General features: G+C 48.9%; 1 protein-coding gene across 15 annotated transcripts in view, besides 4 other annotated features; it reads left to right on the top strand.

The window, feature by feature from the left end:
• The window catches only part of GPR161 (G protein-coupled receptor 161), a 58,126-nt gene extending 33,461 nt beyond the window's left edge, over positions 1–24,665 (top strand). For all 15 annotated transcript variants that reach the window (NM_001349635.1, NM_001349633.1, NM_001267609.1 and 12 more), the window contains 4 exons: positions 6,975–7,699; positions 13,539–13,643; positions 16,503–16,622; positions 18,411–24,665. In NM_001349635.1, the coding sequence (NP_001336564.1) occupies positions 6,997–7,699; positions 13,539–13,643; positions 16,503–16,622; positions 18,411–18,676 (1,194 nt within the window). In that variant the 5' untranslated portion in view covers positions 6,975–6,996 and the 3' untranslated portion in view covers positions 18,677–24,665. The remainder of the gene's footprint in view (positions 1–6,974; positions 7,700–13,538; positions 13,644–16,502; positions 16,623–18,410) is intronic.
• Positions 6,790–7,290: an enhancer, noted in NCBI's record as "H3K4me1 hESC enhancer chr1:168066155-168066655 (GRCh37/hg19 assembly coordinates)". NCBI's record gives its function as "activates a minimal SCP1, AML or CMV promoter by ChIP-STARR-seq in naive H9 embryonic stem cells {active_cell/tissue: H9 hESC(naive)}" and the evidence as "EXISTENCE:reporter gene assay evidence [ECO:0000049][PMID:30033119]".
• Positions 7,291–7,791: an enhancer, noted in NCBI's record as "H3K4me1 hESC enhancer chr1:168065654-168066154 (GRCh37/hg19 assembly coordinates)". NCBI's record gives its function as "activates a minimal SCP1, AML or CMV promoter by ChIP-STARR-seq in naive H9 embryonic stem cells {active_cell/tissue: H9 hESC(naive)}" and the evidence as "EXISTENCE:reporter gene assay evidence [ECO:0000049][PMID:30033119]".
• Positions 18,170–18,670: an enhancer, noted in NCBI's record as "H3K4me1 hESC enhancer chr1:168054775-168055275 (GRCh37/hg19 assembly coordinates)". NCBI's record gives its function as "activates a minimal SCP1, AML or CMV promoter by ChIP-STARR-seq in naive H9 embryonic stem cells {active_cell/tissue: H9 hESC(naive)}" and the evidence as "EXISTENCE:reporter gene assay evidence [ECO:0000049][PMID:30033119]".
• Positions 21,622–21,916: a silencer, noted in NCBI's record as "tiled region #7850; HepG2 Repressive non-DNase unmatched - State 12:CtcfO". NCBI's record gives its function as "represses a minimal TATA promoter and a strong SV40 promoter by Sharpr-MPRA in HepG2 cells {active_cell/tissue: HepG2}" and the evidence as "EXISTENCE:reporter gene assay evidence [ECO:0000049][PMID:27701403]".

The raw sequence follows: 26,146 nt of genomic DNA, 5'->3' as shown, positions 1-26,146 counted from the left end.
TGAAGAAGCCGAAGCCAAGGCAGGTTTCAGTTCCGGGCAGCACTGGGTCCAGGGCCTCTGACTCTGCTTCTCTTTCTCCCAGTGTGACCCCTGCTCTGTCTTGCTTTGGTGTTGACTAGTGCAGCCCGAACAGGGAACACCCTCACTGCCCACAGTCCAGGACTGAAAGGAGAGCAGGGGGAAGGAAGACAGCCAGAGAATACAGGCAGTGACACCGGGGAGAGGCCGTGTGCATTTGGAAACTCGGCTGCTCCCGCCCTCAACGTAGCTGATGCACGGGGAGGTCAGGCGCAGCTGATGTTCCTAAGCAGCATCTCGCGGGTTCTTCAGGGTCCCGCATTATGCTGTCAGATTTAGTTGTACAAGTCTTGTGGGCTTTGGCAGCGAGTTTCCCACAAATGAGTGCATTTATTAGAATTTTGCTAATGGCCACTGCGTTCATCACAGGCACAGGTTGGGCTTCATGAGGACAGGGAGGATAGATTCAAGGTCTGTGTCATTTACCAGGAATTGGGGAGGAGAGTAAGTAGTGGGGTTAGGGAAAACACAGAGTGGGGCTAGCCAGGGATATTGTCACTGGGTGACACAAGTCCCCGGGCTTTTTTGAGACTGTCAGTTTTTCAGTCGATGAGTGGTAGTGGAACTGTCCACTGGGAGCACAGACTGCACCTAGACCTGAGGCTGGAATCTGGCAGCTCTTTGTGGCTGCACTGGGGAGGCAGAACCAATGAAGCCATTGCTCAAAACAAATCAATTAGCTTCTCTTTTTTTTTTTTTTTCCCTGAGTAGTAGAGGTAATCCAGAAAATATAATGAATGAAATTAGAAACACATGATCTAACCATCAGAAACAATCACTGTTGATGTTTTTAGTATATTTGCTTCCAGTAATTTTTGGTTGTATACAGCAAATTTTTGAAATAGGCTTCTGGCTCCTATGGTTTTCTGTCCTCCTTTTTTCATTTAGGTGATGGTGAGCATTTTCTCTTATTTTCAAATATCCTTGAAGAAGGTGATTTTTCATGGTTACGAGGTATTCCATCCTGTGGAGGTATATAAATTATTTTCACAGTCCCCTGTTACTGGATTAGATGACTTCACATAGCTTGCTATTCACTATAGCATTCTGAGGAGCATGTGTGTTTGTGTAATTGCTATATTCTCAGTAACAGTAAACATGCTTTCAAGATTCTTGATATATAAAAGGCAAATGACCTTTCAGAAAGTTGTACAAATTTGTATTTCAGCAGCTGTTTGTCAATAGCCTATCAGGACTGATTATATAATTTTTTTTTAAAAAAAAGTTTGGAAGTTTGTTGGCAGTGGGGAGGAATGGGATCTTGTTGTTTTAACTTTTTTTTTTTTTTTGAATTATTAAGTTTTGAACATCCCTTTCTGGGCCCTGGGTCCCGTGGAACATGGAGTGAGGCTAAACAGCTTAGTTGCAGAGATGGAGAGCTGGTCTCTAAGTGCTCCTCTCAGAGCTGTCTCTATATGAATGCTCAGTAAACATGCCAGTCATCTGCAGGGATAGCTCCAGGAGACTGTAAGCTGCTTGCTTAAATCTGGGGTCTAGATGAGTGAGAATGAGATTTTCTACCAGCAAGCATGACAAATCCTCAAATCATGCCAGCAAAGTACTTCATCTGAGAGAGGGTTTACCTCTTTCAGGGCCTTATTTCACACTGGAAATATTGGTTGGATGTCTACTCCAGGAAAGGCCTGTGCCCAATCCTTGGAGTGGTGGGCTACAAGCATGAGCAGGACACAGACCCTGCCCACCAGGGGTTTACAGTTGAGTGGCAGAGGCTGACTTGTGGGCGCCGATTTAACACAAAAGTAGAAATAACCACCATCGACAACTCCACCAGCCACTGCTGCTGATGGGCTGGCAGTGAGTGCTTCAGGGAGAAGGTGGCATTTGAGCTAGGTTCCTAAACAGCAAGTAGGATAGCAGGTACGTAACAGGTGGAGAGGCCCCTTCTGACTGAAGGAGCAGCTTCTGTGTATTCACTTGGTAAGCAATTATTGAGCACCTATTATATGCCCAGCACAGTGGTTGGTGCTGGGAATACATAGCTGAATAAGATGAATAAACATGCTGAGGCCGAGCGTGGTGGCTCACGCCTGTAATCCCAGCACTTTGGGAGGCCGAGGTGGGTGGATCACCCAAAGTCAGGAGCTCAAGACCAGCCTGGCCAACATGGTGAAACCCCATCTCTACTAAAATACAAAAATTAGCTGGGCATGGTGGCAGGTACCTGTAATCCCAGCTACTTGGGAGGCTGAGGCAGAATCACTTGAACCCGGTAGGCAGGGGTTGCAGTGAGCCGAGATCATGCCATTGCACTCCAGCCTGGGTGACAAGAGCAAAACTCCATCTGAAAAAAAAGAAAAGAAAAGAAAAAGAAAGTAGAAGTGGAGAATAGCAAGGGCAGTGGGCGTGATTTTAACTATAAAATGTTACACGCTTGTCATATTCCAGGCACTGCACTATGTATGCCGTTTATCAACAGTTAGCTCAGCTAACCCTCATGGTAACCTTGTTAGCCCCGATTTTGCAGATGAGCAAAGTGAGGTTTTTGAGGCCTTAAGTAACTTGCCCAAGGTCACGTGGCTGGGAAGTAACTCTCCCAGTTCTGAGATGCCCGAGCCTGGACGCTTTGTCATTGTACACCATCAACTCAGTGCTGCCAGTCATTCCAGCAGCCAGCTAGCGTAGCTCAGGGTTTCTCCACCTTAGCACTGTTGACATTTCGAGCCAGATAATTCTCTGTGGTGAGGAGCTGTCCTATGCCTTGTAGGATATACAACAGCATCCTGGCCTCTACCCACCAGATGCTGGAACACCTCCCCAGTCGTGACAGCCCAAAATGTCTATAGACGTTGCCACGTATACCCAGGGGTTCCCAGCTGAGAACCTTAGCTAAAGAAACTGGCTGCATTAGGAGATATACCTAATGCTAAATGACGAGTTAATGGGTGCAGTACACCAACATGGCACCTGTATACATATGTAACAAACCTGCACATTGTCCACATGTACCCTAAAACTTAAAGTATAATAAAAATAAAATTTAAAAAAGAAAAAAAAAAAAAGAAACTGGCTGGACAGATGAACCCAAAGAGTCCATCTTGTAGCCCCATGAAAAGAGAGCAAAGACAGATATAAAAAGAATGGCTGCCTGGAGCGAAATTCACAGTTTGTCAATGTCCTAAACCAGCCAAGTGAAAGTAGGGCGTGCTGGGGACACCATTTGACCTGCCAGCGGTTCCACTGTGAACGTCCATTACTTAGAAGTCTGTAATGGTGGTCACCTCTATCATCGCTGCCAAGCTGCTGGAGTTCCAGGTCTGTGGAAATAGTTCTCATATTTTCATTCCACATCACAGAAGGTGAAACTCCAGGTCTAAAAATAGAATTTCAGTACATGAAAGTAGCTAGAACAATGGGATGGATAGGGCTAGCAAAGATGACTAGTGCTTTTAGGAGACTGTTCCATGGAAGTTAATGTGTTGCCCCTTTGTTAGGTGAAATTGGCTTAGATTCTGTTTCTGTTTTCACTGAAGACAACTTACTAAGAGCAGGGCTTGCTGTCAAAGTGGCTGGTCTTGTGGCAGGAGCCTGAAGCATCGGAAGCCCCTTCCCACATTACAACTTTTCAGTTACCTGTGACGTCATGAAAGCCTCTTTAGGGTTCAAGGGTCGTGATTGGGCTCATGTCTAAAAATGAGTTGGAGGAAAGATTGAGAGCCTCAAGACAGTTAAGAGAATAGAGAGCAAAGGAAAACCCCTCTCTTTTGGCCTGTATTATTAGCCCACATAGGAGTGGGGAGTTGCTTTTGTTGTTTTCCCTTAAATCTTCAACTAGGCTTAAATGAGGCTTCTGCTGCAAATAACGACTTTATAAATCTGTGATTGAGAACACATATACCCATTTTTTCCTGAGGAGATGCAGGACTGTTCTATATCCTTTTTTTTTTTTTTTTTTTTTTTGAGACAGGGTCTTGCTCTGTCACCCAGGCTGGAGTGCAGCAGTGGAGCAGTCATGGCTCATTGCAGCCTTGACCTCCTGGGCCCAAGTGATCCTTCTTCCACCTCAGCCTCCCAAATAGCTAAGTCTACAGGCACACACCACTATACCTGCCTAATTTTGTTTTTTATTTTTTGTAGAGATGTGGTCTCCTTATGTTGCCCAGTCTGGTCTCAAACTCCTGGCTTCAAGTAATCCTTCTATCTTGGACTCCCAAAGTGCTGAGATTACAGATGTGAGCCACTGCGCCTGGCTGGAATGTTCTGTATCTTGATAGAGGTGTAGATGCGTGCATTTCAATGTACATACATTTTATCCACACCAACCCCCCCCCCCCAAAAAAAAAACTTAAAAACAAAATAATCCCTGGAGGACGTGGCTGTACATGGGCAGGGCTGTGCCTGTGGGGCTTTTCTGCCTGTAGGAGGTGGACCTTGACTGAGCCAGCACCCAGCTTCACTGCCCCAGCTTCCTGATGGCACTCAGGATGCAGCTGGCAGAAATCAGTGTCATGTCACACTGGAACTCCCTGTGCCTGAACCTCAGTCAGTGAGTGATATGGGTACCATTTGTTACAATAAAGGAGAAGTCTTGCCATAAAGTAGTAATAATAACTGGGTGTTGAGAAGAGCCAGAAGGAAATCTGGCAGAGGACAGCACATTAATTGTAATCATTTTTATGGCCGCCAAACAGAGTCGGTGGAAGGAGGCCTACAGTGAACATTCACCAGGCCTGGCTCCCACAACCGGCCGTACACTACCGAGGTGACAGGGTGGAGCGTCTGTGTGCTCTTTAAAGGGATAGAAAAAAAGTAGAAATCTCTGCATTGTTTCTTTTGAAAAGTGAAGGAAACCTTCCTAGACCCACTGCTCCCCTCCCTGCAGTCCCCTAGCAACCCCCTCACATTTCATTTGCCAGAATGACGTCAGACAGGTCCGAGTCTCAGCAGGCCACCCACAAGGGGAAGAAGACCACCATGGGGCTTGTTCGCCCCCCAGGGCTCAAAAGGGCCAGTGTCCCCTGGGGGTCATCGCAGAAGCAGGAGCAGTGTAGGGCTTTCGTCCTCAAGGAGGAAGGGGGAAAGGTCGATGGCCAGTCCCCCATTGAAGGGTAGGCACCATCCGGGCCTTTTCCATGATCTTCCTCATTCGTTCCTAGGAGCAGACCTGTGATGTGGGTGCCAGAATTCCCATTTTCCAGATGAGGGAACTGAAGCTCTGAGAGGTTACATCAATTAGCTGAGGTCACATAGCTAATAGACATCAGAGCCTCCATCTGAACTTGAATTTCCAGCTCCAAAGGCATGCTTTTTCCCTTGGGCTGCACGGCCTTTGCAAGATGCAAGCCCAGATAGCAGCGAAAGACAGTAATCACCTTACCCAGCCACTGTGCAGTGATTCTGTAATAGACACCCTAATCACTGCGCAATCTTCTCCTCAGGCCGCATAGCCGGAAATGCTCTCTTTCCAGGATAGATCCTGGCCTGGGCTCAAGGCTCAGCTCAGAGCAGCCCCAGGCTCACCCCTGCTTAGGAAGACCAAGGAGGCAGCACCTCCAGTTAGCATGTGGCAGTTCAGCTGCTGGGGCCCAAGGGTGACTCAGGGCGGTCCCTGTGGAGGAGCCACCTTCCCAGGCGATGTGTGAGGCACATAGCCAGAGTCATTTCCCAACGTCCTGCCAGGCGGCATCAGTGTGGCCACCCGTCCCTTACACATGTTGCCCTCATGGGAACATCCTATTTCCCTTGGATAAAATGTCGGGGTTGGGAGGGTGGTGGTTGACTTTCAGCCCTGTGGTCTGAGTCCTCCCACCCTTTCCAGTTAAAGGGCCAGTCCTTAGCTGGGCCTACAGTCCTTAGCTCTGCATGCCCCGGCCCCGTCCACCCGGCCTGCTTCCTTCTCTCCTCCTCTCTCCATCCTGCACTCTCTCTCCTGCCAGGTGGAGCTCCATGCAGCCTCCCTGCTGAGCTGGTGCTCACTCACAACTCCATACCTCGCCAGGCTAGCTTTCTGCCTGGGGTGGTCCTGGGTCAGTGCCTCCAACGCTGTGAGACCTGGGTCTGGAGCATCACCTCCAACAGGAGCCTGCTGTGACCCTCTGTGCTGGACCAGAAGCCTGCCAGTTTGAATGGATAGCCCTCCTGGCCCACCTCCTACCTAGCAGCACTGAGTGATTCGGACCCGCCCCCTTGGCTGTGGAACAAGAAGGCTTACACAGAATTGCTGGGCGTGTGCACTGGGGATTGTAGAGTCAGATCGCCTGGCTTTCTGTCTTTCTCCCATGGGTCTGGGGTGTGTTATTTAGCCTTTCCCTGCTTTAGTTTCCTCATCTGTAAAATGAAGATAATGACATATCCGCTGCTCACAGTTGCTGTGAGGACTCAATGTGGCCCTTACCACTCCAGGCCCTGATACTTGGCTCAGGTGTCTGCCTCCCTCACATCTTCTCAACTGCATTTCCAGGAGGTAGCGCGGTGCTTGGCACATCGCAAGCCTTTGGTAAATGTCCATTGGTTGAATGAAGCCCGTAGTCCTTCAACATCATTCTGGTTCTTAATGATCCCTCTGAAAATTGATGTAAATGGATGATTCTGCTGTCAGCAGCAGCAGAATTGATCTGGCCCAATGCATAATCCCTCAGGACCTCTGTAGGTATCTTAAGACTGGCCACACCCCCAAATATGAGTGGGCTGTGGTGTGATGACTTGGAAACAGGACTGTTCGAGCTCTGTGTCTTGCCAGTGTTGAGCTCTTCTCTGTTAAAGAGCTCTGCAGAGCTGTGGAACACGATGCAGTCTATATAACTTGTCTGGGGAGACTTGGGAGAAGGTGCTGCTTTTAGAAACATCCAACCCAGTCATGGGAGCCCCTGACGCAGGAAGGCAGCGGTTTTCTCTCTCCGCTGACTTCTCTCTCTTGCCTCCCTCCATCCCTTTTCTAGCTACTATGCTGTCCTGTACCCCATGGTGTACCCCATGAAGATCACAGGGAACCGGGCTGTGATGGCACTTGTCTACATCTGGCTTCACTCGCTCATCGGCTGCCTGCCACCCCTGTTTGGTTGGTCATCCGTGGAGTTTGACGAGTTCAAATGGATGTGTGTGGCTGCTTGGCACCGGGAGCCTGGCTACACGGCCTTCTGGCAGATCTGGTGTGCCCTCTTCCCCTTTCTGGTCATGCTGGTGTGCTATGGCTTCATCTTCCGCGTGGCCAGGGTCAAGGCACGCAAGGTGCACTGTGGCACAGTCGTCATCGTGGAGGAGGATGCTCAGAGGACCGGGAGGAAGAACTCCAGCACCTCCACCTCCTCTTCAGGCAGCAGGAGGAATGCCTTTCAGGGTGTGGTCTACTCGGCCAACCAGTGCAAAGCCCTCATCACCATCCTGGTGGTCCTCGGTGCCTTCATGGTCACCTGGGGCCCCTACATGGTTGTCATCGCCTCTGAGGCCCTCTGGGGGAAAAGCTCCGTCTCCCCGAGCCTGGAGACTTGGGCCACATGGCTGTCCTTTGCCAGCGCTGTCTGCCACCCCCTGATCTATGGACTCTGGAACAAGACAGTTCGCAAAGAACTACTGGGCATGTGCTTTGGGGACCGGTATTATCGGGAACCATTTGTGCAACGACAGAGGACTTCCAGGCTCTTCAGCATTTCCAACAGGATCACAGGTAACTTGGGCATTGTTAGGATAGCCCCTCCGAGGCAGATGAAATCTGTGGTCCTCTCAGCCACTCTGGCCTGTTTGTGGGTGAGTTCTCAGGCTGACTGGCGGTAAGGCTCAAAGCACAGATTTCCTTTCGGAAGAAACATTCCAGAGGCTCCGCTGTGATTGCCAGGGAGCTTCCTGTCACTCAGTAGCTCACGGCCATGCTGACAAGGCCAGCAGAGCTCCCTGGTGCCCTGGTATGTGTCCCAAAAGAATGGGACAGGGGACACCACGGTCCAGAAATCTGCTTTCTGAAACCCCAGCCCTGGCCCTCTGGCCTCAGAGTGTGTATAGTTAGTTCTCTCTCTCTTTTTTTTTTTTTTTTTTTTTTTTTTTGAGACAGGGTCTTGCTCTGTTGTCCAGCTTGGAGTGCAGTGGCACAATCTCCATTCACTGCAGCCTCTGCCTCCCTGATTCAAGTGATCCTCGTGCCTCAGCCTCCCAAGTAGCTGGGATTATAGGCACGCACCACCACACCCAACTACTTTTTATATTTTTAGTAGAGACGGGTTTCACCATATTGGCTAGGCTGGTCTCAAACTCCTGACCTCAAGTGATCCGCCCACCTCAGCCACCCAAAGTGCTGGGATTACAAGCGTGAGCCACCATGCCAGGCCTGGAGTATATTCTTTACTAGAGGAAAAAGAATCCAAGCATTGGACCAGGCCACCTTCTCCTGGCACAGCCACATCCACATCCTTTCCTTCAGTGTTTCCTCTTGTCAGCACCCCCTCCCCACCTCAGCTGCTGTCTTCCTCCTCAACCATCCTCCTCCTCCTCACAGATCAGTGATCTCCTCAGATGGTCCCAGACAATCCGGGGGTGTCCATGCCAAACCTCAGCCTTCCATCGAAGCATCATGGCCTTGTACGTGTGAGGCTGCTCCTTCCTCTGATGACTGATCCGGTGTGCACAGGTTTCCGGACACAATCCCACCACCTTTGATGGGACCCAGTGGAATTACTCTAGTTAGGGGTTAGATTTTTTGTTAAAACTTTTTATTTTGAAATAATTTTAGATTTACAGAAGACTTGGAAAAACAATACAGAGAATTCCCACACACCCAGCTTCCTCTAGGGTTACTGTCTTGAACAACCACAGCTCTAAAACGTTAACACTGGGGCAGTGCCATTAACTACAACTTGATTCAGATCTCACCCGTTTTTCATTAATGTCCTTTGTTTGTCCAAAGATCCAGCTCAGGATCCCATATTGTCTTAGTCAATCTTTGACAATCCTTTACTCTTCCCTTGTCTTTTATGACATTGACAGCTTTGTAGAGTACTTACCAGGTATTTTGTAGACTGCCCCTTAATTTGTGTTCATCTGATGCTTTCTCAAGATTAGAATGAGGTTATCCATTTTTGGCAAAAATGCCACAGGGGCGATGTGCCCTTCCTGTACATCATAGCAGGGGGCACATATGCCAATATGCCTTATTGCTAGTTGTGTTGCTCTTGATCTCTCGGTTAAGGTGGTGCCTGTCAGCTTTCTCCACAGTAAAGCTGCTGATTTTCCCATTGTAATTAATAAATACAACTGAGGAGATACTTTGAGATGATGCAAATACCCTGTTTCCTCTTTGGCCCTTTCCCACTGACTCAGGACACATTTGTGGATCTTGCCTCTAGCATTTTTACTGTGTAGTTTTGAGGTCAAGTAGCTGGATTTTTAGGGCCAAGGTGAAAGGAGACCATCACCTGGCCAAGCCACTGGGAGAGATTTGGAGAACATTCAGCTTGGACTACAGTCCTAATCTCTTGCCAGATGACTTCGGGCAACTCTTCAAACCACTCTAGTTAATTTCTCATCTTCATGAAATAGGTCTTTCTTCCACTTTTCTTCTCAAGAGGGTGAAAGAAATGACTCTAATTATGCACACCCAGTGGCAATGATGACAGGAGATCCTTTCCATGTGGCGATGAGACACAATGGCATCACTGATTTATTTCACGGGCTGATGGAGTTTTATTTCCAAGAGAGGAAGGAAGTCTGGGACTTTTAACCATAGGAGAAAACATTTCTCTGTATCTCAGTATTTTAACCACTGAAATGCTCACCCCTGCCAGTTGCAAGCCCACATTTTCACATATGACCTGTGATCCAGGAGTCCATTCAATGTTGGGCTTCATTTCACTGATTAATGTATTAGTCCAGATTTTGTAAACTCACTTGTCTTCTAGGCAAAAAAAAATAGATGTTTTCTAGATCAATGAAGTTAAAATGAAGAAGGAAAAAAAATGAGGACAGAAAATGGAGCAGGAAAGGGTTCGTAGAACAAAAAGAAACACCTGCTTTTGAGGCCAAGATTTTCCATGCAAGTCACTTGCAGGTGTCCTAGAAGAGCTGGTGAAGCTGTGAGCACAGGCGGAAAACACCAGCTGTGGTTGGTTTGGCACATCCCAGGCAGCTGGTGGTCTCATCTTCATTTAGGGAAAGCAGGCTTGTGGGATGCCTTTGGGCTGAAGAGCTTATGGAATGGGTTCCAAGTTATTGGTCTTTCCGAGGAATGGGAGCTGGGGTGGGGGTGGGGGATGGTTCTTCTTGTTCTTCCCTGAAGGTCCTGATCCCAGGAGGAGGCAGCAGCATCAGTAAGAGTCTGGGAACCAAAGCAGAATGTGGCGCCCCAGCCCAGCCGCTCACCCTGCGCTGTCCATGGCTTTCTGACTGCAGGAGAGAGCCCTGGCCTCTGCCTTGTGTCCCTGGTCCCTCTGTCTGAGCCAGGGCTGACCAGACCCTCTGTGGGCAAGGCCTTGATCTGCAGCAGATTCTGAAACCCTAATCACTTCCCCTGCCACTGGCTCACCTTAGTGTTAACTAGAGGTATGAAGGATGATCTGATCTGTCTCAGAGCCAGCAAGAAGCAACTTGGAGGCTCTTTCTTGATTCTGTTCCTCTCAATTTGTATGGGCACTTGGAAAGGTTTAACCAAAGTAAATGGAATAAGCTTTCCTAAAAGCAGTGCATATGAGCAAAGGCAGAAGCAGAATCCCACACATTTCTGGAGCTTCCCAGCTGACTTGGATGTCAGGAGTCTCCTGGGCAGTTGACAGTGTGTCCTTTATATCTAGCAGATTTCAGCCATAATCAGTGGTTCTGCTTCTCTCATTCTGTTTGTCCCAAAGTGAGGAAGTACAAAATCTTAGGCTTTCCATGGGTGCCAAATGTCGCTGGGCCACCAAATACCTTCTGCTTGTAAGGTCTCCTTAGCCAATTCCCACGGGGAAGGTCACTTAGGAATTTAGATCTCTGGACTTCCTGGAGGTTGCCACGCAGCACCACCATGTGGCAGATAGGTCAGCCCTGCATGGACATTGCTAAATGCTACCAGGTGGTCTTAGGATGGTAAAGCACCAATACAAAGCTGACTGGTGGCTACTGGCAATGGGAGCCAAGAAGAGGCTTCAGGAGAAAGTGCAGGCAGCCCCTCCACCTGCCCTTCCGCTGGCCGACCCAGAACCTTCACTCCAGCCAGGGCTGGAGAGCCCGAGCACCACCCCTCTCCCCAGCCAGGGAGGGTGGCCCAGGCAGTATCAGGGGGCACCCCCTCCAAACGCCGCCCTTACGAGACCCTTGAAGCTCCTGGGCATAGAGCCTTTCCCGTTATCTCCTGCGAAGGACACTGACTCACGTTTGTCCAGGGGAAAACACCTCGCTCCAGGTTCTTCCTTGAGAAGGCCTAGCTTGAGGGCGGGGAGGGTGACCCCAGAGCCTTTGGATTTACTCCCTTGCCTTCCTAAGTTCCTTTGCTTGGGGGCATCTAGAGGTCTTGTAGTTAGCTCAAAGTACCTGCAAATTTATCTCAGAATCACACCCCTGTTCTTTCAGCTTCTCAGAGCACTGTGACTGTTGCTCACCGCATGCCTCTGGAGAGCCACAAACCTGATTCCCCGAGCCTGTGCCTTTGTGCTTTTTTCTTGAGGGGTTGGATTGTGCTCAGCCCAGTAAATACATTGTTTCATGTGAACAATCTCAGGGTAATTGTCTCCACCCTCTGCTGGTAAATGCTGCATAAACACAGAGGAGAGGGATGCCACCTGGCTGCCCCGTTTCCAGACCTTTTAGCTGAGCCGCATTGGCCTGGCTCAGACCATTCCTCCCACTGGTGCAGACCGACATGTTCCTGGCTTTCACTGCAGCCTCAGAGATGGTGTCCAAAACCCACTGCGGCTTCAGCCATCCCAGCTGGCAGGAGATGCCCCCACAGGCTCTGCTCCCTAAGCCAGGCCTCCTGCTGAACACAGTCATGTTCTCAGGCCGAGACCTTGGGAGGATGGGCATGTGCAGGGGAAAGGATTGGGGCCTTTCTGGTCCCAGCTCCCTACAGTAACCCCCAGTCAAGAGGAAGTCCCCTTGCAAAAGCAGGATTCCCAAAAGCAGCGAGAGGGAAGTTCTGAGAGAAGCCTGCTGTGACCACCCCGCCTTCCCACACCATGTCCTCCTTGGCTCCAGGGAAGAAAGGAGAAAGTGCATTCTATTGCCTTGTAACCTCTGAAGAATTAGGGTAGAATGAAGGAACAGGTCTCCTCCTATCTGTGAGTGTATCATAAAATACAAGAGTGTCCTTTATGGCAGATTGCAAAATCTGCCAGGCAGTGGATCTTCTTCATGAGCTCCCAGGAGTTTGACTTCTTGTGCTTTGTTTTTAATTTCTAAGAGCGTTTTGTTATCTCCATGTTCCTTTTTTCATAGCCTGCAGCTCTTTTTTTTATTTTCCTAACATTCTGAGGATGACCCATTGTAATATTTTTTGCTCTCTTAAGCTCCCTGCATTGAATCCTCTGAGGTCCATTTTTCTTTTCTTTTTTCCCATCTCTGTCTTTCACGCTAGTACCTTCCTTTAAATGTCTAGTGATCCTTGGGCACCCCTTCACCTCTAATAACGAGGGCCTAGAAAACCACAGGGAAGCCCTGGGTGGTGGGATGCAGGCAGGCTTCCTGACTGTGGGTTGGTCTGGCAGGGCCATTTCACAGGCACCTGACTCTCAGTGCCTGTGAGTCTTTCCTCTAGGCTTGGTGGATTTTCCCAGGGAAGAGTTCTGCAGTCTCCAGCCCAGGTTAAGTGGGACAAGGGGCCAGGGTCCCACTACTTAATATGTAAATTTCCACAATACCCTCAGTTTTTACTGGGTCGCTTCTGCCGCGGCTGTGCCCGGGGCTCACTCTCTCTCCTCTCCTACCAACACTGGGGTCTGGCGCCCGAGGCCTAGCCTGGAGAAGAGCAGTGGCTCCTGGCCCCCTACCCCCCAACCCCGTTCCTGAGTTTTCAGAGCCTGGTGAAGCCTGCCTCTCCCAAACCTCCCCGTTGCCAACCTCAGTTCTCTATTCCGGGTCAGCTCATCACTCTCAACCATCTGCTTTCCAGCTTACAAAAATTCTCTCCTTCCTTTGGGGTGTAAGCCTCTTAAAAATCCCTCTTTGATAATTCAAGTAGGATTTCAGGAGGTGAATGTGGGGTTGAACCCTCCATCTTTAACGGGAAGATCTTCTCACCTCACATTTTCCCTCCTGCCTGCCTTTTTGATTGTGCTCCCTGGCCCTCTGTCATCACCTTGGTGGTGGTTGACATTGTCAGGAGAGTTTCCCCTTTGGGGGAACCCAGTGAGTGCTGCTGACACAGTGGGACAGAAAAGAGGGGCGAGCCAGGAGGGAGCAGCTAAGCTCTCCTGTCTTTCAGGGAGTTGAGAGTGAGTTTTGCAAGGGCGAACAGAAGGGCAGGAGATGGGTCTGTGGGGAAACGGAGGCTGGGGCCCCTCCTTGCAGAGTGTGATTGTGTTGTCAATGCCAATTTTGTCTTTCAGACCTGGGCCTGTCCCCACACCTCACTGCGCTCATGGCAGGTGGACAGCCCCTGGGGCACAGCAGCAGCACGGGGGACACTGGCTTCAGCTGCTCCCAGGACTCAGGTAACCTGCGTGCTTTATAAGCCTCTCACCTGTCGCGTTTTCCCTGTGTTGCGTTTCCCCCGTGTCGCGTTTCCCCTGTGCAGGCTCAAGAGCTGGCGGAGGGGCATTTCCCACGGTGGGTGGGGGGTGAGAATCATAAGTCTGGGTTTCCAGTCGTGGCTTTGACTTTTCAGCTTTCCTGTGTCTCAGTTTCTTCCTCTACAAAATGGGGCTGTCAGTTCCTGTTCTCTCTGCCGCACGGTGTTATTAGGGGGTTGAAAGTGAGTGAAAGCCTTTGCAAAATTAAAATGAGAAATGATTGTGATGATAATAACCACTGACCCAGAGGGGCCTTGCAGTCAGCCTGCCTGGTCTTCAGTCTCCAGTTGGCTTTTTAAGAGCTGTGTTATCTCAAGCAAGTTGCATGATCTCCTCCTAAACCCTCAACTTTCCCCATCTGTGAAATGGGGGTACTAATCCCCATTACAGGGCAGCTGTGAGAATTGAGAGACTTAATGAATGTGAAGCACTCATCTTGTTCTTGGCACAGAAGGAGCCCTCCAGCAAGGTCAGCTGGCCTTGTCTCCTCACTCCATGTCCTTTGATATGAAACTCAGTCTCCCTGTAGAAACGCATCTCCACCACAAATCCTGCAGAGCCCTCCCTTTAGCCTCTGCCTAAAGGATCTTGCAAGCCCAGGGCTGCTCCTTGTCTGAGCAGTCGGCTTCCTGGCATCAGAGTCATGGCACCGGGGAGGTGGGGAGCTGCAGATGCTGTATCCTGTGCTGGAAGCACGCTGTTAGAGCCACAGGAGGCCCTGGGCAGAGGCGCATGGGCAGAGGCAGGGAGTCACACTCATGGCTCCACATTGCTGAGGAAGAGCCAGGGTGTCTGGCCACACCTGCTGCCCATCCCCAGGCTGGCTGTTGGTGCACTGGCGCCTGGAGGGAGTGCCGCTGAAGCTGCACAAAGCCGCATGCCTGGCAGTGGGTCTGCCGCTCCCAGCTCCTCCATCTCTCTGCTCTTGGGAGCCTTTGAAAAACCACCTCTGACTTGACCTGGGTTTCCTGTTCCCCATGAGTGCTCCAGGGCTGCGCCTAAGCCTGTGTCATGGAACTCAGGGGTGAGCCTTGGGGTTGGCACCGGGACCAGGCCATGACCTCTCTTAGTCATGGAGAATTTTCCTTGGAAAATTCCTTATCTGGCAACCCAGAGGGCCCCGCACCACACGGAGTCATATATGAAGCACTGATCACACTGTGCCCTCTAGGCCTGAGTCCCTCATGTGATTTAAGGAAAGTCTCTGTTACTCCCCAGTCTGCTTCCCTGTTCTCAGACAACTAAAGGGATCCAGAGGCACTGCAACATTCATTCATTCATTCATTCATTCAGCAGTTATTTGCCACGTTCCTGCCTTGGCCGGACCCTGTGCCAGATGCTGGGGGCACAGTGGTGAACTGCCATTGTTGTGGAGGCTTCAGTTCATAAAAGATTGAACTGTAAAGTATATAAAGATTGTAAAGTATACAATTCTCATTGAATTGTATACTTTAAATGAGTCAGTTACATGGCATGTGAATTACATCTCTATAAAACTGGTTTTGAAAGATGATGAATGTGTCGAGAGCTGTGAAAGGGGAAGCCCTAGTGGAGTGGGAGCCCGTGGGCTGCTATAGGTAGGGGAGTTAGAGAGACTGCTCTGAGCATGCGATGTCGAAAGCTGAAGCATACGTGGAAGGTGCCCCGGCGCAAGGAGTGAGGGGACAGCACTGTAGGCAGAAGAAAGAGCATGGGCTTCGGGGCACACAGATCTGGTGTGAGTCTCAGCCCTGCCCTTTGTTCGCTGTGTCCTTATCAGGAATGATGGCCCTCAATTTAGCCCCTGCTGTGTGCAAGCACTATGCTAGATGTTTACATGTCTCAACTCAAAATCCCCACAACTCCGTGAGGTAGACTGAATGATGACCCCAGGTTTACAGACGTGGAAAGATACTGAGGCATTAAATAACCTGCCAGTGATCCTAGGTCTGTCCGACCCAAGCCTGTGTGTTTAACCACCATATTCTACCTCCCAAAGGACTGTTTCTTCTCTATGTCGGGTAATCACACCTCTGCGAGGTGCTCTGAAACAGCATCTAAAGAGCTCCAGGTTTCTCTTTCTTCCTTATTTTCTGAGCTTCAAGGCCTTTATGGATTGAAAGCTGGAAGCTAAGAACGGGGCTGGATCTGACACTGGTCCTAGTGTTGGGGAAGGGCACTGTTGAGTGATGGGTCCCATCTCAGCTCTTCCTTCCCTCCCTTCCCTCTGCCCCATTCCCTCTGCCTGCTCTGCCCACCTATCTCTAGTAGGACTTCCCTGACCTTCTCCCTTTATTTCCCTGCTTTTTAGGGGAAAATTTGTCAATTATTTTTTGATCCCCAAAGAACTCTACATTTTGGAGCTTTACATGTTTATTTAGTACAACATATTTTAACTGTGGTGATAGAAATTCAGACTGTAGGAAGAATCACTCAGAATATAAAGTTCCTTTTAGTAGGACCCTCTCCTCTACTCGGCCCTTCTCCCCACTTCCCTTCCATGCTGGGCCGGCAGATGCCATGCTTCTGGGGTCTGGTCATTGAGGCAGATAACCCCCTACTTCAGATAACTTGGCTGCATTTTTTGTGTGGCTGACGCAGCCCCACCGGCTGTCTGCAAACTCCCTGAAACAGGATGACAGGCGGGTGTTTCTTGGGCACGTGCTGCGGCGCAGTCAGCTCCACTTGATGATGGGTTTGGATGAACGGGAGAAGAGGGGTGGAAGGGGTGTTGAGAGGGGAGAAGAGGCCAGGAGGACTTTAGATTGTAGTTACATATGCACAATCTGCCCGTTGTTTTAGGGACAGATATGATGCTGCTTGAGGACTACACGTCTGATGACAACCCTCCCTCTCACTGCACTTGCCCACCCAAGAGAAGGAGCTCGGTGACATTTGAGGATGAAGTGGAACAAATCAAAGGTTGGCTTCTGTGACTGATTGCTTCAAGAAAACATAGGGAAACGGAAAGGATCTTAGGACAATTCCTTGGCTCAGGCTGGCTCCCATCCCGGAATATATCAGGGCTCCATCCCTTTGCTCACTCCCTGGTTACTCCCAGCCCTGTTGGTCTCACCTGAGTCCTTAGGCACCCAGTTCTCAGAGCAAGCAGCATCGAAGGCTGGGCAAACAATGGCTGTCAAACTCCACACACACACACACACACACACACCCACACGTGTTTACACACACAGCCCAGATCCTGGGTGAGGTATGGTTATAACTGAACCTGCTTTCCCTGAGCCTCAGTTTCCTCCTGTGGAAAATGAGATAATGGCCCAATGAGTGTATCTGCTTTGCTGGAGGCCAAAGCTGCCATCTTGCTTGTCCGTCGCTCCTACAGCGGTGATGGCCCTTGGGTCCTGTGAGGAGAATGAGTTCTGCCGCAGCCCAATCCCTACATTTTTCTACTCTATATCTTCCCCGCTCACCCCCAGGGACTGTTGTTTACTCTGGAACTTGGAATTCGTTTCCCATCCAGACATGCTGATTAGGAGAGTGACAAGAGCCATCCAGATACCAATATGACTGGGCTGTGGATTTGGTGGAGTCCAGGGGCTGTCCGATGTAAGGAGGCTCTTCAGAAATGTTGAATATGGAAATAAATATGGCCTCTGTCAGAGTTTTAGGTTCATAATTAATCACATCTCTTCTCCACACCCCTCCCTGAGTTCAGAATGAATGGAGAGGTTGTTACAGAGGTCAGAGGTGGAAAACAGTTCATTCGCTTCACTGGCAAAGCAGATTATAGAACAGAGCTTGGGCCAGCAGCCTCATGGGCTTTATAATATATTGCCTTTCTATAGGAAAAAATGAACTAAATGCTCCCCAACCCCCCAGCCCACGTAGGGCCACACTTGCCCCATCAGTCCTGCTTTGTGAGTGTGGCAGCTCCAAAGGCACCCTCCAGGTGGTGCAAGAGCAAGGCACTGCCAGGGGGTCCTCCCCTGCCATGAGTGAGTGGCAGGGCAGAGAGTGGCTGGAGGTCCCTCCAGTCTTTCCCTCTTGGAGAGTGGGGTACAGGTTGCCTACTTTCCAGAAAATGTAAGGAGGAGAGGATAAATTGTTCCCCTGAAATGTCCAGAGAAAATAGGCAATGAGTTAATAATAACAGGGAACAGGGTGTGAAATTGAAGGGCTCCCCCCTCTCACTTCTGTTCGTTTTAGTTTAGGGCTCCTAATCCTGGGAGGGGGCTTGAACCTGTAATGTCACGTCCAACCTTGAGGTTCTGCATGGGGAATCTCTGAGCAAATATGGAGAGGAGAGAGATGACATTAGGGTTTGTGGAAGTTTTGTTACACTGCTTCAGGGAGCTCAAAGACCAGAATACTCTTTCAAAGATGTAAAAATGTTGATTAGCATTAGTAGAAAGTATTTATCAAGTCTTTTCTATGGGCCAGACATAGGCCAAACATCTTAGAAAGAATTATCTCCTTTAGTTATCACAGTAACTTCTTGGAGTAAGAGGTATCTTAATATCTTCTCTTTACAGATGAGGAAACTGAGGCTAGATTAGATACTTTTTCCAAGATTTCCCAGGTAGGAAGTCAGGGAGTCAGCTTTTGGTCTAGGAATGGAACTTTGAAACCCACGCCCTTAACTGCGGTTTGTCTCCCTCCCCGGGGTGGTGGAGCAGCAGCAGGCTTGTCCCCAAGGTAGTCCCCAGGCCTGGCTCCTCAGCTGACTTTTTTTTCTGCCTTCTCCCTCAGAAGCTGCCAAGAACTCGATTCTTCATGTGAAAGCTGAAGTACACAAGTCCTTGGACAGTTACGCAGCAAGCTTGGCCAAAGCCATTGAGGCCGAAGCCAAAATCAACTTATTTGGGGAGGAGGCTTTGCCAGGGGTCTTGGTTACAGCACGGACTGTCCCGGGGGGCGGCTTCGGGGGCCGCCGAGGCAGCAGAACTCTTGTGAGCCAGAGGCTGCAGTTGCAGAGCATCGAAGAAGGAGATGTTTTAGCTGCCGAGCAGAGATGAGGGCCTCAGGGTGCCGTGGGGCTGCAGCCTGAGAGGCTGGCCCGGGGAGGAGTTCCCATCACCGCCTGTGCCGCGGCCTTGGGAGCATGTCACTGTGTACAGCTGGCCACACACAGGGAAGGAGCAGCATCTGGTATGCAGCCACCAGGACAAGGACTGAAAATAATGTCTACAGTCCACAGCTTCAGCATTTCCAGAGACCACATGTGAGCTTCTTTTAGGTCCCAGTGATGGGACCAGAAGCATCTAAAGCAAAAAAAAAACCAAAAAAAAATCTAGAGATGTGGCTGTGGCTTTTTGGGAGGTGGGGCATGGGAGGACCAGAGACGAAGGGCTTGGAAGGAGACCCCCACATGCATCATTTCCTCCTCTTCACAGTGTGCTGGGAGTCCAGCCGTGCACTGTGCCAGATGCCTCAGGAGGAGAACCCTCCCCAGTGTACTGTGAAGGATGACACAGCACTTCTTCCTAATGACACGCGACCGTCCTGGTGCCTCTACATGGTTGATGCGGGCAGTGTGGGACCCTCAGTTCTAGGACTGGTCCGCAGAGAAAGCACCCAGGAGCAGAGCGCTTCGGAGCGGTCCTCAGTGGCGCCACCTGCTGGTGCTAATAGGGACAGCCACAGGCCTCTTGCAGACTGGCCCACCCTGCCTACTTCCCTACTGACAAGTTCTTTGGTATTTCAAAAGGGAGAAACCACTATAAAAGACAAGAGGAAGGGCAGGTACTAGGTGTTTCATTTCCAGAATTAAAAAAAAAATCCATTTAAGACGTACCACTGTTTTACCGGACTGAATGGGACTGTAGTGCCAAGCACAGCCAGGAAATAGAGAAACTGTTATTATGGAAGGGAATTTGTTCACATGGGAAAGCCTCATTAAATAGATTCTATGTGTGATGTTTGAGTGACCAATGAAAATAGCTGGCCTCAGTTCTGCATGGCACACTCCCAAGAGCAACAGTTACTATTATCACAAGCCTGGTATAAATAAGATAGAAGCAGCCCTGGACCCACAGCCAGCAACCTGGGTTATTGGCCCAGCTCTGTCTTTGTGTGCACATGTCATTTGGACATCTTGTCACCTTTCTAGGTCCTCTGTAAAGTGGGAAAACAGAGTGGAGTTGGATTGAATGGTCTCCAAGATCATTTCCAGCTCTGACCTTTGGTGTTCTCAGGATTTGTAAAGCAGAGATAGGTAAAACACAAAAGCAGACCCACGGACCGACCTTTGTATAACTTTGGAGTGTGGTTGCTCATGCACATGTGAAGTGCAGGCAGATCAAGGTTCTGTGGCTTTGTCTGCCCTGTCCATTAGAGCACAATCTGGATAGAATGCCAGCCACCAAGATGCATGAGGGGCAGGGTCACCATCTCAGAAGGGGAAGCACAGGAATGTGATTGGGATGGTTAAACCTCTCTTCTCCTCCCTTTGTGCTGGAACAGCAGTTGAAGTTTGGTCCTGGAGTAATTGCTGTGATGACTTGGGAAGCCACTGATCTCCTCTTGCGTCTGCCCTTGGCCTGCATCATGACTAAATAAGTTCAGGACTTCTCTGCTTTGGTTGGCAGAAGGTAGATTCCAAGGAGATCTTGCTGGTTGCTGAGAGGCAGCTGTTCTAGAAAGTGAATTACCCTTGTGGTTTTTTCTTTGGGGCCCAGCTAGCTCCTGGTGAGGTTGTGTTTTTGTGTTGTGTGGCAGAAACCAATGGTTAGCTGGTCCCCTGGTCTGCAGTTTGTAAAAGACCTTTCATGAGGCCTGGAGTCTTGCTACCTGTGGTGATTGAACTCAACTATTCTGGGTCACCTGGATGCCAGGCGCTGGCCTAGCTTCTGGATGGGAGTGGGAAGGAGCAGAGGGCAGGTTCACCTGTGCAGGTCAGACACTCTGCTTCCATCACTGGATGGCATTCCTACGTCTGCGTGTGGTTCACGTTTTCTATATATATTCCCTGTATATATTTTTTTCTAGCACTTGTCTACTTTCTGAAGGGACCATATTCCTGATCAACTAGTGTGCACAGAGGTGGAACAGGGCAGAGAGACCTTTATCTCTAGGATGGGTTGCTGGTTAGGTGTAGGCATTCTTGAGTGCAGCAGCTTGGCTTTGAAACGCAAGGGTTGGAGAATGTTCCCCTGACTGTACTAGACTGGGCTCTAGGGAAAGAATCCTGAGACAGCCCCCCACTCCCCCACTGACCCCACACTAGCTGGGCTATTATAGAATTTAATCTAAATCTAGAAATACTGCATTTCACAAAATGATTCACTGTGTTTCCCTTTTTTTACTGAGGTCCAATTCATTTAGTCGTCTACCAGACACTGCACATCCAGTGTATGCGAAGCACCAGGCTAGGCTCTGTAGGCAATACCACTAAAGTGTGCACTCTGATTTAGGGAGCAGGACCTGTGGATACCGATTCTAATAACTAGCAAAGTCAAGTCGTGGTTATAGAAAGAAGTGTGGCTTCAGAGGGAGGTGGGTATTTCCAAATATGGAGTTAGGGATGGCTCCATGAGGTAAGTGACAGTTTGAGCTAAGTCTTGAAGGATGCTTGGCAGCTAGAACCATATTTTCCATATTCAGGAATTCAAATTTGCCTTTATTCAGCTAGAGAGAAAGAGAGAAGGGGGTGTGGGGGAGAAGGAAAAGAGAATTTTCACACATTTTGAAGTTCCTGAGAGCATTTCTGAGGATATCTGCCGTTAGTGCAGAAGGTCGAAACCCCAAGTGCCCCCACTAAACCCAGGCTCTTTAGCTGTAAACTGCCATGCAGTGGCAGGCCTGCAGCCTTCCTGATGGGACCACATGGACAGTGGCACATGGGACATTTGGCTACTCGTTAGCTTAAACAACTCAGTCCTGTGTCTTCTGGTTTTGACAAGACCACATTTAGGACTGCTGCCCACCTCTGCCTCTTTCATTGAGATTTCCGCCTTATTGGGTCCCTGTGCTATGCCACAGATACCAGGTTTGGGGTTGTTTTGACCCAGAAGGCATTGGGAGTCCCACATTACAGAGCACACACACAGCTCAACACAGCCATTTCCCTGGCCAGAGGCACCAAGACTGAAGTTCAGGCCCTTAGACACTAGGTGGCAGCGGTGTGGCTGTGCAGAGCCAAGGATGAACCTGAGAGCTTGTTTGCCTCTGGCTGGGCACTCTTGTTTTGAATTCCTTTGCCCTTATCGTGTAGTCCACGGCCTTGGTGACCAAGGACCACCTGGCTAGCCTGCTTACATGCATGACCCCATCCAGGTTCACAGGTATTGCCACTGAGTGATCTTAGGTAGATCACTGCTCCTGGAGAAGCAGAGTTGAGGAGTGTAAGACAAGGGCCATCTAGTGCCAATGTTCCTTGATTCTTATTTGAGGAGCTACTATGTGGTCTTTCTGTAAACAAGTGAACAACCAATGAGACTAAATATTTGCAATAGATAGGCTAAGGAATTTGGGTTGAGACAGGAGACGGAGGAAAAATGCTTTGATACAATGACAGATGGTTAGTCTCTTCAGATTTCCCTGAATATTTTCCATCCCGACAATATGCCTCTTAGATACTTGCAGATTAGACATGTCTCTGGATGGACCACAAGATACATTCACAACATGTGTTCAGCCTTGAGCCCTGGCTGTGTCCTGTCTGGAAGGAACTGAGGATGATGTGGCTATAAAGAGGAGGCAGTGAGCTGGCATGTGACTGCCTTCTGTGGGCCTGACCTGTTTGACATTTGAGGGCCTATGATGTGCTAGGTGCTGTGTTAGGTACTTCCAAATGCTTTATCTCATTTTACCCCAGTGCAAGTGTGATATAGTGAGGATGGTGAAGACGTGGGTATGGTTAAGTCATGAGTTCAGATCCCGTGCTTCCAATTACATGGGTGTTTTCAAACAAGTCACTACTTATGAGTTTCCTCATCTGTGAAGGGAAGTTTAGTCATCTGTTTCAATGTGGAGACACACAGGATTGAGGGAGTCCTCCGTCACAGGGTGACTGTCTGGATTCTATGAGGAAATACTTGGAAAGCATGCAGCACAATGCCTGGGGTGCAGCTGAAGCTGAGCCACTGGTGTTTCTTCACAGTATCTCTGTGGGGAGGGTGTATTATTCCTTTTTATAGGGATCTCTATAATGAAGTGAGAATCTTGAAAATATAAGTGTTATCCTAGATGGGAGGTGTTAAAGGTTTTTGCCTTGGGAATTTTGTCATATTTGTTGCACAGCAAGGAAGGACTTTCAGAAAAGCAGGGATGTGGTGAGGAAGAGCAGGCAATAGAGAGCAGGGAGGAAAGGCTAAGTAGCATCTGGAACTTGAGAAGTCTAAGGGAGCCAAAATGAGATTTTCTATTAAAAATGTCTATCCTCAGCCGGGCGTGGTAGCTCACGCCTGTAATCCCAGCACTTTGGGGGGTCGAGATGGGCAGATCACCTGAGGTCAGGAGTTCGAGACCAGCCTGACCAATATGGAGAAACCCCGTCTCTACTAAAAATACAAAATTAGTTGCGCGTGGTGGTGGGCGCCTGTAATCCCAGCTACTCAGGAGCCTGAGGCAGGAGAATCACTTAAACCCAGGAGGCGGAGGTTGCAGTGAGCCGAGATCGCGCCATTGCACTCCAGCCTGGGCAACAAGAGCGAAACCCCGCCTAAAAAAAGAAAAAAAAGAAAAAGTCTATCCTCTATGCTACTGGCCTGTTTGTACAAAGATAAAATCATTCTAATTTGTCCGGAATGACTATCAAAGATGATCAAATCCCCAGGGCCTGGTGTAACGTTCCAAATCATAGCACAAATACAGCTTGACCTTCCTTACAGTCCAGAAAGGACATTCTCCCTGAGAAATGCCCTTGGTTGCTGAGGACAGCTCTGTCCTGTAGTGACAGAGTGACTGCCTGGCTGTGGCTCTTGGGTTCACAGAATCCCTAATCCTCCAAGCCCCTAAGAGGCAGGGCAGGGATGCTACCCACAATATATGCAGAACCCCAGATGGAGCCTGTGGGAGAGAGAGGAAATTACCGTCTTCACTGTAGGCAAAGGAGAATGGCTGTGATTAGCCATATATGCCTATAAGAAGGAGCAGAGCCATACTGTCCTTGTGGGTTGGGAGAGGGGACACAGAATCCAGGGCAATTGTCTGAGGTCTCAAAGTAAGTTAAGCCAGAGTCAAAGCCAAACTCCAAGTCTTGGCCAAGGGGATGAGAAAAGCAAGGAGCTAGTCTTATAGGTCAAGGAAGATGAGGTATAGTTAAGAGTCATCAGTATCACAGAACAGGCCAGCAGGGCTTTATTAGGTATGTAGAACTATTATAAACCAAGGATCTTGGGAGATATTAATATCTGCTGGCCAGACCTAAAAAAAACTGAAGGCCCAAGGAAAGTGACTGGACTCACTGGAAAGTATCTAACAAATACTTTGGATTCCAAAGTATTTCCAATACCTTGAAGATTCCTTTGAAAACATCAAAGCACAAACTCAAATCTGCACAAGATTACAAAAGCACAATTTTGGTGTTATTTTTAGAATGCAATACACAAAGCTATGTTCATTTCTCTCAGCAAGCATTTTCCTGGGTAGTAGTAATAGCTTAGGAATCAAATGCCACTTTTGTTTTTCCTTTTTTCACTAGTTTGAAATACCACAAATCACAGGTGAGTCAGTCCTCCCAGAGGAAAAGACAGTCCTAGGGAGAATCACAGGCCTGGCAGACAAGACCACACTGAGAGCAGTAGAAGGAACCTGCATGCTTAAGGGACAGAGGACTGTGTTGTGTTCTCATAATAGACCGCTGGATGAAGAAGTGGTTAAAAACCAACCCTCGAAAAACAAAAATCCCTGGCTAATCCTGAAATATATTTAACTTGAAGTCTTTGGATGATTTTTTTAAGGTTAAAAAAAAGTTTAGGATTATTATAAATCAATATTTATAAATAAGCAACAATGTATTTGGAATTTTTGTTTACCTGATTAAATATGTTTTTGGTATGTGTATACTGTGGAAATGGTGAATTTGTACTTGGACTTGTGGTCTGTGGACTTTGTTGGGTGCCTCTGCCTTTCTCCCATTTTCTGCAGCCATATCCCTATTGTCAACCTCCCTTCCCATGGGCTAAAGCGAGGGAGACTGAGCAGAAAGGGGTGGATTACTGCAGAATTGGTGGGGGAGTGCCCATACCAGAGTCACCTGCAAATACTCATCCATGCATTTTCATAAATTCCTCCAAGGCAATTAAATTCAGATAACTGTTTAAATGACCTACTTCTCACCATGCCCAAGAAACACTCTTAACCCAGAGTTTTTATGGGAGCTATGCCCTGTCTATCCATCTACAGATGTATTTTCTACCCCATAATCAAAAGTCAAAGAGGGCAAGAGGCAGATTATCGTTACCATTGAGACTCAGAACCACCTCGGGGCACGAAACCCACCTTTTCCTGACCCCCTTACCTGCTACCACTGAAATCATCTTCCAAGTGGATGGTGGCCCTACGGTCCAGTTTGCTGAGCTTTCTGGGGTCCTCTGACACACACCCAATCTTGGAAGCAGCTGGCACTTGTGAATTCTGCCTCTGTAGAATGTTTTCTCTCTTTGCTGCCTCCTGACGGCTTGTCTGGCTTGCCCTGCTTCTGAGCAATACACACCATCAAAACTGCAAAATCACTGTGGGTGGGGGACCCAGTTCATTTAACAAATACTTTTTTTATTTTTTTGAGATGGAGTCTCGCTCTGTTGCCCAGGCTGGAGTGCAATGGCGTGATCTCGGCTCACTGCAATCTCTGCCTCCCGGTTCAAGCTATTCTCCTGCCTCAGTCTCCTGAGTAGCTGGGATTACAGGCACATGCCACCATGCCCGGCTAATTTTTCTATTTTTAGTAGAGGCAGGGTTTCACCATGTTGGTCAGCTGCTCTTGAACTCCTGACCTCGTGATCTGCCCACCTCGGCCTCCCAAAGTGCTGGGATTACAGGTGTGAGCCACCGTGCCTGGCCAACAAATACTTTAAAAAAAAATTTTTTTAGAGCAGTTTTAGATTCACAGCAAAACTGAGAGAAAGTAGAGTTCCCATAGCCCCACTCTCCCCCATCAACATCCTGCACTAGAGCAGATGAATACCATTTTGACTTTCTTCTATTGTTTTTCCTGACAGTTACTCCTTCACCCCACTAGTCCTCCAGTATCCTCTGTCCTGTCAATTTCCCAACACCCCGCTATAACACATCCCTGTTACTGTCTTACTACAGTGGAAGGAATGACATACTGTGTGCTTAGAGTCGTCTTTTCAGTTATCCTGTATAACAATTCGTCAATCTTATGGCTTCATCTTGCCCTAACAGCCCCTGTGACATAGGTAGGGCAAATATGACCACCCCCTTTAGAGAGGGAACAAACCCAGAGAAGTCAGGTGTCTTGAGCAAGGTACATAACTGAAAACCAGAAACTAAGACCCTTGCACTTTTCGGAAGTCATAAAG

Source organism: Homo sapiens, chromosome 1 (genome assembly GCF_000001405.40).
Source record: "Homo sapiens chromosome 1, GRCh38.p14 Primary Assembly".
In the NCBI taxonomy this organism is placed as follows: domain Eukaryota; kingdom Metazoa; phylum Chordata; class Mammalia; order Primates; family Hominidae; genus Homo; species Homo sapiens.
The sequence above is the reverse complement of the archived record's forward strand: the minus strand, read 5'-3'. Positions and strand labels throughout refer to the sequence as shown.